Here is a 12,857-nt window from a genome sequence, read left to right as displayed (position 1 = left end):
ACATGGTGAAACCCTGTCTCTACTAAAAATACAAAAATTAGCCAGGCGTGATGGCACACACCTATAGTCCCAGCTACTTGGGAGGCTGAGGCAGGAGAATTGCTTGAACCCAGGAGACAGGTGGAGGTTGCAGTGAGCCGAGATCATGCCACTGCACTCCAGCCTGGGCGACAGTGCAAGACTTCATCTAAAAAAAAAAAAAAATAGGCCAGGCGCGGTGGCTCACACCTGTAATCCCAGCACTTTGGGAGGCCCAGGCGGGTGGATCATGAGGTCAGGAGATCAAGATCATCCTGGCTAACACGGTGAAACCCCGTCTCTACTAAAAATACAAAAAATTAGCCGGGCGTGGTTGCAGGTGCCTGTAGTCCCGGCTACTCCGGAGGCTGAGCCTGGAGAATGGCCTGAACCCGGGAGGCGGAGCTTGCAGTGAGCCGAGATCGTGCCACTGCACTCCAGCCTGGGCGACACAGCGAGCCTCCATCTCAAAAAAAAAAATATATATATATATATATAAATATTATATGCTATTATATAATATTTATATAATTATAAATATTAACATAACATAAAATTTACAATCTTAACCGTTTTTTTTTTTTGGTAGAGACAGGGTCTCACTAGATTGCCCAGGTCTCAAACTTCTGGCCTCAAGCGATCCTCCTGTCTCAGCCTCCCCAGGTGCTGGGATTACAGGCCTAAACCACTGCACCCAGCTGATCTTAGCTGTTTTTAGTGTACGAGTGCACGGGTTCAGTGGCACTAAGTACATTCATGTGGTTAGTTAACCACTGCCACCATCCACTTCTAGAACTTTTTTATCTCTCCCAACTGAAACTCTGCACCCGTTAAACACTAACTTCCTATTCCCCCCTGCCCGCAGCTTCTGGTAATCACCACCTTACTTTCTGTCTCTGTATTAGTCTGCTTGTGTATTGCTACAAAGAAATACCTGAGGCTGGGTAAGTTGTAAAGAAAAGAGGTTTAATTGGCTCACAGTTCTACAGGCTGTGCAAGCATGGCTCCAGCCTCTGCTCCTGATGAGGCCGGAGGAAACTTCCAATCATGGTGCAAGGTGAAAAGGAAGCAGGCGTGTCACTTGTCGAGAGCAGGAGCAAGAGGTGGGGAGAGGTAGCATGCTCTTTTTATTTATTTATTTATTTTTGAGATGGAGTCTCTATCTGTCACCCAGGCTGGAGTGCAGTGGTGCAATCTTGGCTCACTGCAACCTCCACCTCCCAGGTTGAAGCCCTCCTCCCACCTCTGCCTCCCAAGTAGCTGGGATTACAGGCATGCACCACCACGCCCAGCTAATTTTTGTATTTTTAGTATAGACAGGGTTTGTCCATGTTGGCCAGGCTGGTCTCAAACTCCTGGCCTCAAGTGATCCACCCGCCTTGGCCTCCCAAAGTCCTGGGATTACAGATGTGAGCCACCATGCCCAGCCTCATGGTCTTTTTTTGTTGTTGCTGTCAAGACAGATTCTCACTCTGTCTCCCAGGCTGGAGTGCAGTGGCGCGATCTCACTCACTGCAACCTCTACCTCCCGGGTCCAAGTGATTCTCGTGCCTCAACCTCCCGAGTAGCTGGGATTACAAGCATGTGCCACCACACCTGGCTAATTTTTGTATTTTTAGTAGAGATGGGGTTTCGCCGTGTTGGCAAGCTGGTCTCAAACTCCTGTCCTCAGGTGATCCGCCCGCCTTGGCCTCCCAAAGTGTTGGGGTTACTGGCGTGAGCCAACGGCCCTGGCCTCATGCTCTTTTAAACAACCAGATCTTGCATGAACTGAGAGGGAGAACTCACTAATCCATGAGGATGGCACCAGGACATTCGTGAGGGATCCCGCACCATGATCCAAACACCTCCCACCAGCCCTACCTCCAACATTGGGGATTATATTTCAACATGAGATTTGGAGAAGACAAACATCCAAACCACATCAGTCTCTGTGAATCTGACCACTCTGAGGTCCTCATGTAGGTAGAATCCTACGTTCTTTTGCCTTTTGTGTTTGACTTAGTTCCCTTATAGCATAATGTCTTCAAGGTTCATGCCTGTTGTAGCATATGTCAGAATTCCCTTCTAAATATTTTAATTAAAACATTTTTTTTTGAAAAGAGTCTCATTCTGTCACTCAGGCTGAGGTGCAGTGACATTATCACAGCTGACTGCAGTCTCGAACTTCTGGGCTCAAGCGATCCTCCTGCCCTTAACCTCCCAAGTAGCTGGGACTACAGGCATGTGCTACCATGTCGAGCTAATTTTTAAAAGTGTTTTGTAGGCCGGGCGTGGTGGCTCACGCCTGTAATCCCAGCACTTTGGGAGGCTGAGGTGGATGGTTCACAAGATCAGGATTTCGAGACCATCCTAGCGAACACAGTGAAACCCTGTCTCTATTAAAAATACAAAAAATTAGCTGAGCGTGGTGGCACGCGCCTGCAGTCCCAGCTACTCAGGAGGCTGAGGCAGGAGAATTTTTTGAACCCGGGAGGCGGAGGTTGCAGTGAGCTGAGATCGGTTGTGCCACTGCACTCCAGCCTGGGCAACAGAGCAAGACTCCGTCTCAAAAAAAAAAAATGTTTTGTGGTAACAGGGTCTTACTATGTTGCCCAGGCTAGTCTCAAATTCCTGGTCTCAAGGGATCCTCCTGCTTCAGTCTCCCAACGTGTTGGGATTATAGATATGAGCCACCCTGTCTGGCCCAAAAGATATTCTTACTCTGAAGTCACGGTCAAGAATGTTGAGAAACACGGCCTGAATTTCCATACCAGCCAAGTGCCCTAGCGTGGCAAGCATAATTCCTGCCCCAAGACACACAGGCTTTCCTCTTGAGGTCCCTTCTGCTGCTGCTGCCGCCCTTGTCTTAGGTTTTTGCCACCTTCTGTTGGCTATTTTTTTTTTTAAGTCGGAGTCTCTCTCTGTCACCCAGGCTGGAGTGCAGTGGCACGATCTCAGCTCAGTGCAAGCTCCGCCTCCCGGGTTCACACCATTCTCCTGCCTCAGCCTCCCGAGTAGCTGGGACTACAGGCGCCCGCCACCACACCCGGCTAATTTTTTGTATTTTTAGTAGAGATGGGGTTTCACTGTGTTAGCCGGGATGGTCTGGATCTCCTGACCTTGTGATCCTCCTGCCTCGGCCTCTCAAGTGCTAGGATTATAGGCCTGAGCCACCGTGCCTGGCCTTTTTTTTTTTTTTTTTTTTTTGAGACGGAGTTTCGCTCTTATTGCCCAGGCTGGAGTGCAGTGGCACGATCTCTGCTCACTGCAACCTCCACCTCCCGGGTTCAAGTGATTCTCCTGTCTCAGACTCCCGAGTAGCTGGGATTACAGGCACTGCCACAATGCCCGGCTAATTTTTTGTATTTTTTTTTAGTAGAGATGGGGTTTCACTATGTTGGCCAGGCTGGTGTCAAATTCCTGACCTCAGGTGATCCACCCACCTTGGCCTCCCAAAGTGCTAGGATTACAGGTATGAGCCACCGTGCCTGCCCCGGCCCCACCCTTTTTTTTTTTGAGACAGAGTCTCATTCTGTCGTCCAGGCTGGAGGGCAGTGGCACCATCTCAGCTCACTGCAACCTCCGCCTCCCAGGTGCAAGCAATTCTCCTGCCTCAGCCTCCCAAGTATCTGGGATTACAGATGCTCCCCACCACGCCTGGCTGATTTTTGTGCGTTTAGTAGAGATGAGGTTTTACCGTGTTGGCCAGGCTGGTCTGGAACTCTTGGCCTCAAATGATCCACCCGCCTCAGCCTCCCAAACTGTTGGGATTACAGGCGTGAGCCACTGCACCTGGCCAGTTTTTGGCACCTTTTAAAGCTCAGCTGAAATACTGCCTTCTCTGGAAAGCCTCCCTGTTCCTCTCCAATGCCTGGAACACACTCTCTCTCTTGGGTTCACCCTCCCATGTTTGGTCTCATTTTCCCTGACAGCAGCTGAGCATACACTGTCCTGCAGGGTGGGTGACTGGGCCTTCCAACCTGAAAGTATGCTCCTCCGGGAAGGGGCCCACCCCACACCTGTCCCATGTGGGTGTCTAACAGTGCCCCTGAACACAGAAGGGCCAGAGCCAGGCTTCCTGACAATAACCATGACAATGCTGGTGCAGTGGTGATGTGCTGGTGACCGTAACTCGTGGTCATTGTAGGGAACAGTTTTCATGCTCATGGGCTACCCAACGCCCTGTGAACCCTCTTTTTAGAGTGGAGGCATCTGTCCCAGTAGGAGTCCTGCTCCCCCAAGGTAGAAGTCAGAAATTCACTTTGCCAGCCTCCCTTGCAGCTAGAGTGTGCCCATGTGACCTGGTCTCCACCAATCAGGATTTCTATTTGGAAGAGGTGTGGGCAGGCTCTGTGCTGATGGAGCTTAGGAATGGGACAGCCAGATTTCAGAGGCAGCAGTGGTGGTGTCCTGGCAGGGGCATTCCTGACAACTTAGAGTGGCTTCAACCGCCATCCCTGTGCTCAGCAACAGCAGCTGAAGTCACTCTTCCAGAGCATCCCTGGGTGCTAGTCTGGCCTCCAAGTCTGATCCTGTGGCACCTCTAGAGAGTTCGTAAGTTACCTAGTGCCCCATTTTTCAGGTGAATTGAAGTAATATTTACACATAGTAGAATTTACTTCTTTTATGCATATAGTTCTACATACCTTAACAAATTTACACGGTCATGTAGCTACCACCACAATCAAGATACAGAACTCCCAAAATCTCTAAGTGCTGCTCGGTAGTCAAGCCCAGTGGTGTGCTAGAGCTGGTTAGTATCAGTTCATGGGAGCCAGTTGTTAGGTTTTGAGGAATTTTGCAAGCTTTTTCTTAAACATAGTTATCATTAAACATTAAATTATATAAACTAGGCTGGGCGTGGTGGCTCACACTTGTAATCCCAGCACTTTGGGAGGCCGAGGCGGGCGGATCACGAGGTCAGGAGATCGAGACCATCCTGGCTAACACGGTGAAACCCCGTCTCTACTAAAAATATACAAAAAAAAAATGAGCAGGGCGTGGTGGCGGGCGCCTGTAATCCCAGCTACTCGGGAGGCTGAGGCAGGAGAATGGCATGAACCTGGGAGGCGGAGCTTGCAGTGAGCCAAGATCGCGCCACTGCACTCCAGCCTGGGCGACAGAGCAAGACTCTGTCTCAAAAAAAAAAAATTATTTAAACTAACAAAAAATTTTATTAAAACAAAGGTAATAAGGCCAGGCATGGTGGCTCATGCATGTAATCTCAGCACTTTGGGAGGCCAAGGTGGGCGGATTGCTTGAGCCCAGGAGTTCGAGGCCAGTCTGGGAAACATGGTAGAACCATCTCTACTAAAAATACAAATGATAGCCAGGCGTGGTGGTACTCATCTGTGCTCTTAGCTACTTGGGAGGCTGAGGTGGGAGGATCAGTTGAGCCTGGGAGGTTGAGGCTGCAGTGAGCCATGATTGCACCATTGCACTCCAGCCTGGGTGACAGAGTAAGACCCTGTCTCAATAAATAAAATAAATAAATAAAACAAAGGTAATAAACTTACCACCTCCTAATTATTTTGCTACATTTTACTGTTTAGATGCCCTTGAGATTATTTATTTATATATTATTATTATTATTATTATTATTATTATTGTAAGAGATGAGAGTCTTGCTGTGTTGACCACACTGGTCTTGAACTTCTGGCCTCAAGCAATCCTCCCACCTCAGCCTCCTAAAGTGTTAAGATTATAGGCATGAGTCACTGCACCTACCTGAGATTATTTATGTCCATTGTATCTATATGGTGTAAATACTATCTAATGACGTGCTAATGTACAGCTCTTCTCAATCTGAATTCAGTGACCCCACATGAGCAGCTTAAAATTGGCCATGGTTGGAGTATTTATATCAGAGACATTGGCAAATGCTACAAATCAAAGTCTGATTTTATTGTTTTGCTGATTGTCTAGACATGAGAAAGTAGCAGAGAAAAGGCAGATAATACAGATTAAACTTATAAGTGTGGTATGTCTGTAGCCATTACATTGAGAATAACACAAAAAATTAAGGAAACATTCTTTCAGTATTTAAAAACTATGATCTGATTCGGCAAAGAAGTCACATCATTGATGAACTAATGAAGTTCTGACATATATCTTTGTTGTTTTATTTTTGTCTTACTCTTGTCAAATGATGGCTCCCCAAATACCGCCAGTGCAACCTGTTGATAAGACAAAGCTGGGTTTATTGCTTACTATAGGAAGGGAGAACATCACATGGACAGGGCTTTGTCACTATTTCGAAGTGGGAAGGCAAAGTCGGAATCCATTAGAACTGGAAGTTTGGTTTAAGGAGGGTCTTTCCATGCAGGAGTTTGATTAGGATTGTGTTAGGAGCTGGGCGCGGTGGCTCACACCTGTAATCCCAGCACTTTGGGTGGCCGAGGCTGGTGGATCACTTGAGGTCAGGAGTTCAAGACCAGCCTGGCCAACATGGTGAAACCCCGTCTCTACTAAAAATACAAAAATTAGCCGGGCATGGTTGGGGGTTGGGCTGTAGTCCCAGCTACTCAGGAGGCTGAGGCACTGCTGCACTCTAGCCTGGGTGACAGAGCGAGACTCTGTCTCAAAAACAAAACAACAACAACAAAAAACAGGATTGTGTTAGGGTCACAACCAAACAGTCCAGGATTGGTGGAGGCAGCAAGGTGAGGGTCTGTGACACAGGGCAGTCTAAGAATCTCAGGGTGCTGCCTGTCAATACTTCCCACTGAGGAATTGGTGGGTCTTATGGGAAGTTTCTCTAATGCACAATCAAGTCATTTGTGTGGGCAAGAGTCTCCCAGAATAGCACGGAGACAATGGAATAATACAGTCTTTTTGTACACTGTCATTTGTTTGAAGGGAGATAGCTTCAGTCTTCAGTGTCCAAGGTGTATGTGAGGGTAGGTGTTTTTATTTGTTTGTTTGTTTGTTTGGAGTGCAGTGGCATGATCTTGGCTCACTGCAACCTCTGCCTCCCAGGTTCAAGTGATTCTCCTGCCTCAGCCTCCTGAGTAGCTGGGATTACAGGCACCTGCCACCACGCCCAGCTAATTTTTGTATTTTTAGTAGAGATGGGGTTTCACTGTGTTGGCCAGGCTGGTCTCAAACTCCTGACCTCGTGATCCGCCCACCTCAGCCTGCCAGAATGCTGGGATTACAAGCATGAACCACCGCACCCGGCCGGGTAGGTGGTTTTAATGGGTTTTTTTGAGACAGGGTCTCACTCTGTTGCCCAGGCTGGAGTGCAGTGGCACAATCACAGCTCACAGCAGCCATGACCCTCAGGTGATCCTCCCACCTTGGCCTGCCAAGTAGCTGGGACAACAAGCACATGCCACCACACCTGGCTAAGTTTTTTATTTTTTGTAGAGATGGGGTTTTGCCATGTTGCCCAGGCTGGTCTCAAACTCCTGAGCTCAAGGAATCCAACCACCTCGGCCTCCCAAAGTGCTGGGATTACAGGCATGAGCCACCGCTCCCAGCCCCCGTGGTTTTAATTGTTACTCTTTAATGTTAAGTAAAATATCAACCAACATTCACATTGGATCTGCACTTGTTTGTCAATTGCAGCCACAGATTGGTTCCAGTTACATGAGTTTAGCAAAATTGAAGCACTCTGTGAGAATCAGTTGGCTATATGAAGTTTACTTTTTTTTTTGAAACAGTCTCACTCTGTCACCCAGGCTGGAGTGCAGTGGTAAGATCTCAGCTCCCTGCAACCTTCGCCTCCTAGGTTCAAGCAATTCTCCTGCCTTAGCCTCCCGAGTAGCTGGCATTACAGGTGTGCACCGCTATGCCTGGCCAATTTTTGTATTTTTAGTAGAGACGGGGTTTCATCATATTGGCCAGGCTGATCTCGAGCTCCTGACCTCAAGCGATCCTCCTGCCTTGGCCTCCCAAAGTGCTGGGATTACAGGCATGAGCAGCTGTACCCAGCCTGAAATTTACAATTTATCATTTGTAAGTTATGGGCTATAAATTCAGCAAAGTTGCAGGAGACAAGATCAACACACAAATATCAGTTGTGTTTCTATACACCAGGAATGAGCAAACTGAAAAGGAAATAAAGAAAACAATTCTGTTTACAACAGCATCCAAATACCTAGGAAAAAAATTTAACCTAGGAGTTGAAAAACTTGTACACCGAAAACTACAAAACATTGCTGAAAAACACTAAAGACTTGATTAAATGGAAAGACATCCCATGTTCACAGATTGGAAAACTTAGTGTTGCTAAGATGGCTATTCTCTTCAAAGCAATCTACAGATTCTAGTGCAATCCCTATTAAAATTCCAATGGTCTTTTGGGGGCAAAAATAAAAAAGCTGACCCTTAAATTCATATGGAATTTCAAGAGGCCCCAAATAGTCAAAACAAGAAACATTGGAGGAATATACTAGTTTGCTTGGGCTGCCATAACAAAGTAACACAGACTGGGCAACTTAAACAATAGAATGTATTTTCTCACAATTTTGTAGGTTGAAGTCCAAGATCAAGGTGTCAGGCAGTTTTGGTTTCTTTCGAGGCCTCTCTCCTTGGCTTGCAAATGGCTCTCTTCTCTCTGTGTCTTCACATGGTCTTCTATCTGTGCGTGTCTATATTCAATTTCCTCTTCTTGTAAGGACACCACTCCTATTGGCCTAGGTCCCACCATAATGTAATCATTTTAACTCAGTTACCTCTCTAAAGACTTTATCTCCAAATACAGTCACATTTTGAGGTATACTGGGAGCTAGAACTTCAACATAAGAATTTTGGGGGTGGAGACACAATTCAGCCCATAACAAAGGATTACATTTCCAGATTTCGAAACTTACTACAAAGCAACAGTAATCAAAACAGTGTGGTACTGGCATAAAGATAAACATGTAAACCATTGGAACAGAATTGAGAGTCCAAGCTGGGTAGTGGCCCATCCCTGTAATCCCAGTGCTTTGAGAGACCAAGGCAGAAGGATCGCTTGAGGGCAGGAGTTTGAGACCAGCCTGGGCAACGTAGCAAGACCCTGTCTCTACAAAAAATAAAAATAAAATAAAATTAGGCATGGTGGTGTGTGCCTGTAGTCCTAGCTACTCATGAGGCTGAGGTGGGAGGATCGCTTGGGCCCAGGAATTCAAGGCTGCAGTGAGCCATGATTGTGCCACTGCACTCCAGCCTGAGTTACAGAACAAGAGCCTGACTTTAAAAAAAAAATAAAGAATTGAGATTGAATATCCAGAATATCTAAATAACTCTTACAGCTCAACAACAAAATGATACACAATGCAATTTTAAAATGGGCATAATTGAATAGATATTTCTCCAAAAAAGATATACAAACGGCCAAAAGCACATGAAAAAATATTCAACATCACTGGTCTTTAAGTAAATGCAAGTCAAAACAATAGTGAGGCCAGGTGTGGCTCACTCCTGTAATTCTAGAATTTTGGGAGGCCAAAGTGGGTGAATTGCTTGAGCCCAAAAGTGTGAGACCAGCCTGGGCAACATGGTGAAACACCGTCTCTACCAAAAAAGATAGAAAAATTAGCCGGGCATAGTGGCACACACCTGTAGTCCTGGCTACTCAGGAGGCTGAGGTGAGAGGATCACTTGAGCCCAGGAAGCAGAGGTTGCCGTGAGCTGAGATCTTGCCACTGCACTACAGCCTGGGTGACAGAGTGAGACTGTCTCAAAAACAAAAACAAAAACCAATAGTGAGATACCATTTCATATTCACTAGGATGACTATAATCTCTTTAAAAGGAAAATTAGTGTTGACTATGTGGAGAAATAGGAACCCTCATCCATTGCTCATAGGAATGTACATGGCGCTGTAGCAGCCACGGGAGACTGGCTGCTTAACTCAAAAAGTGAAACATAGAATTACCATATGACTTAGCAATTTCATTACTAGGCATATACCCAAGAGAAAAGAGGACATGTCCACACAGAAACTTGTTGGTGAGTGTTTGTAGCAGTGTTATTCATATAGTCGAAGACTGCAAACAACCCAAATGTCCATCAGTGGATGAATGGATAAACAAATTGTGGTATATTCATATAATGGAATATTATCCAGCCATAAAAAGGAATGAAGTATTGATAGATGCTGCAACTTGGATGAACCTTGAACACATGATGCTAAGTGAAAGAAGCCAGACATAAAAGGTCACATATGATATGATTCCATTTAAATGTATGTGTAACTTTGTAAGAAACTGCCAAACAGTTTTCCCAAGTGGCTGCACCATTTGGCACCCCCACCAGCCATGTATGAGAGTTCCAGCTGGCAGTGCATGCTTCATGTCCTTGCCAGCATTTGTTATTATCTACATTTTTTTTTTAAACGGAGTCTCATTCTGTCACCCAGGCTGGAGTGCAGTGGCACAATTTTGGCTCACTGCAGCTCCACCTCCTGGGTTCAAGTGATTCTCTTGCCTCAGCCTCCCAAGTAGCTGGGATTACAGGCACATGCCACCCCACTGCGCCCAGCTAATTTTTGTATTTTTAATAGAGATGGGGTGTCACCATGTTGGCCAGGCTGGTCTTGAACTCCTGACCTCAGGTGATCCGCCTGCCTTGGCCTCCCAAGGTGCTGGGATTACAGGCATGAGTCACTGCGCCCGACCCTGCAGTTTTCATTTGAACCATTCCAATAGGTGTGTAGTGGTATCTCACTGTGGCTTTATTTTCATTTTCCTAATGACTAATGATGTTGAGTATCTTTTTTTTTTTCTTTTCTTTTCTTTTTTTTCTGAGATGGAGTTTTGCTCTTGTTGCCCAGGCTGGAGTGCAATGCTATGATCTCGGCTCACTGCAACATCCGCCTCCCGGGTTCAAGTGATTCTCCTGCCTCAGCCCCCTGATTAGCTGGGATTACAGGCATGTGCCACCATGCCCAACTAATTTTTTGTAGTTTTAGTAAAGACGAGGTTTCTCCATGTTGGTCAGGCTGGTCTCAAACTCCCGACCTCAGGTGATCCACCCGCCTTGGCTTCCCAAAGTGCTGGGATTACAGGCGTGAGCCACCGCGCCTGGCCTGAGTGTCTTTTCATGTGCTTATTTTCTATCATACATTTTCTTTGGTGAAGTGTCTATTTACATTGTTAGCCCATATTTTTATTAGGCTAGACCATATTTTTATTGGGTTCTTTTCTTATTTTTGAGTTTTGAGAATTCTTTATATATAGGTTACCAGTCTCTTATCAGATATGTGTTTGGTAAATGTTTTTCTCCCAATCTGTGACTTGCATTTTCTTTTTCTTACCAGTGTCTTCAAAGAGCAGAACTTTTCCATCTTGATGACATTACATTTATCAATTTTTTTTCTTTTATGGTCTGTGCTTTTGTGTTCTAAGAAACCTTTGCCTAACCCAAGCTCTTACAGAATTTCTTCTATATTTTTTTCCAGGCATATACCTAATATACCATATTAGTATAGTGGTATGTTAGGTATACCTATTGGTATATTAGGTATATGCCTAATACCCCCTTTTTTTTTTTGAGATGGAGTCTCGCTCTGTTGCCCAGGCTGGAGTGCAGTGGCGTGATCTCGGCTCACCGCAAGCTCCACCTCCCAGATTCACGCCGTTCTCCTGCCTCAGCCTCCCGAGTAGCTGGGACTACAGGCGCCCACCACCATGCCTGGCTAATTTTTTGTATTTTTAGTAGAGACAGGGTTTCACCATGTTAGTCAGGATGGTCTCGATCTCCTGACCTCGTGATCCGCCCGCCTCAGCCTCCCAAAGTGTTGGGATTACAGGCATGAGCGACCGCGCCCGGCCCCTAATACCCTTTTATAATACCTTTCCACTTAAACCAGGATGGCTTCTGTTGTTTGCAACTGAGAACACCGACTGCTCTGGAAATGGTGCTGTTGGTGGTTATGGGGATGGCACCAGTGCGGGTGGTGAGGTTGGAGGGAACAGTCGTGTGAGTTAGAGGTTACAGTTGATGCTGGGGTTAGTGCTGGTGGTGATCATGGAAATGAGGCAGGTGGTGTTCATCAGTTTCTACCTGAAATCCTTCTCACTGTGGTGCAAAATCCGTGGCAGCCCTGATTGTCATCAGCTTGTCACTTCTCATTGAAGATCCATATATATTGCAGAACTCCAACCTGTCAATCTCTCATAAAACAAGATGGAAAGTCGGGGGTGAGGTTCAAAGCCACTTCCAAGAATTTACCTCTGTATATACTTGCTGAAGTATTCAGAATAAGAGTGTTCATTGAATCGTTGTCTATTGCAGGAAAAAAATGAAAACCTACCGGAATGTCTATCCATAGGAGAATGGCTAAATAAAATATGGTCTCTCCATACTGTGGAATATTACACAGACTTCAAATAGAATGAGATAGATCATTACGGACTTCTGTGGAAGGATACCCATGATACATTACTAAATTAAACAACAAATTGCAATCATATATGCTATCCTATTTTTTTAAAAGTATATACAGATGCATGTTTGTACACGCCAAAAAAAAAATTGTCTGGAACCACACACAAGAAACTATTATCAGTGGATCTCTAAAAGACACTTCACTTCACATGCTTCTGATCTGTTTGAATTCTTTGCCTTGAGCAGTTACTACTTTAATCTAAAAGTAAAAAAAAAAAAAATACACAATAATGCATACAAGGTGAGGTGGGGCGAGATTATTCTCTTTATTCTCGAAATAAGGAAACGGAGTCATGGAGGGGAGGTGTTGTCCTGACTTGCCTGGGTGGTTGGCCCAGGGAGCCTGTGTGAGGAACTGGCTAGACGGGAGACCTCTGGTCTGGTTCCCAGTTGCTGTTCCCCTACTGCCTTTCTTGGAAGCACGGTCCTGCCTCCCTGCCTGTCCCAGGGCAAAGATGACCTCTGAGCCCTGCTCAGCC

This window comes from Homo sapiens, chromosome 1 (assembly GCF_000001405.40).
Source record: "Homo sapiens chromosome 1, GRCh38.p14 Primary Assembly".
In the NCBI taxonomy this organism is placed as follows: domain Eukaryota; kingdom Metazoa; phylum Chordata; class Mammalia; order Primates; family Hominidae; genus Homo; species Homo sapiens.
Note: the sequence above shows the minus strand (reverse complement) of the source record.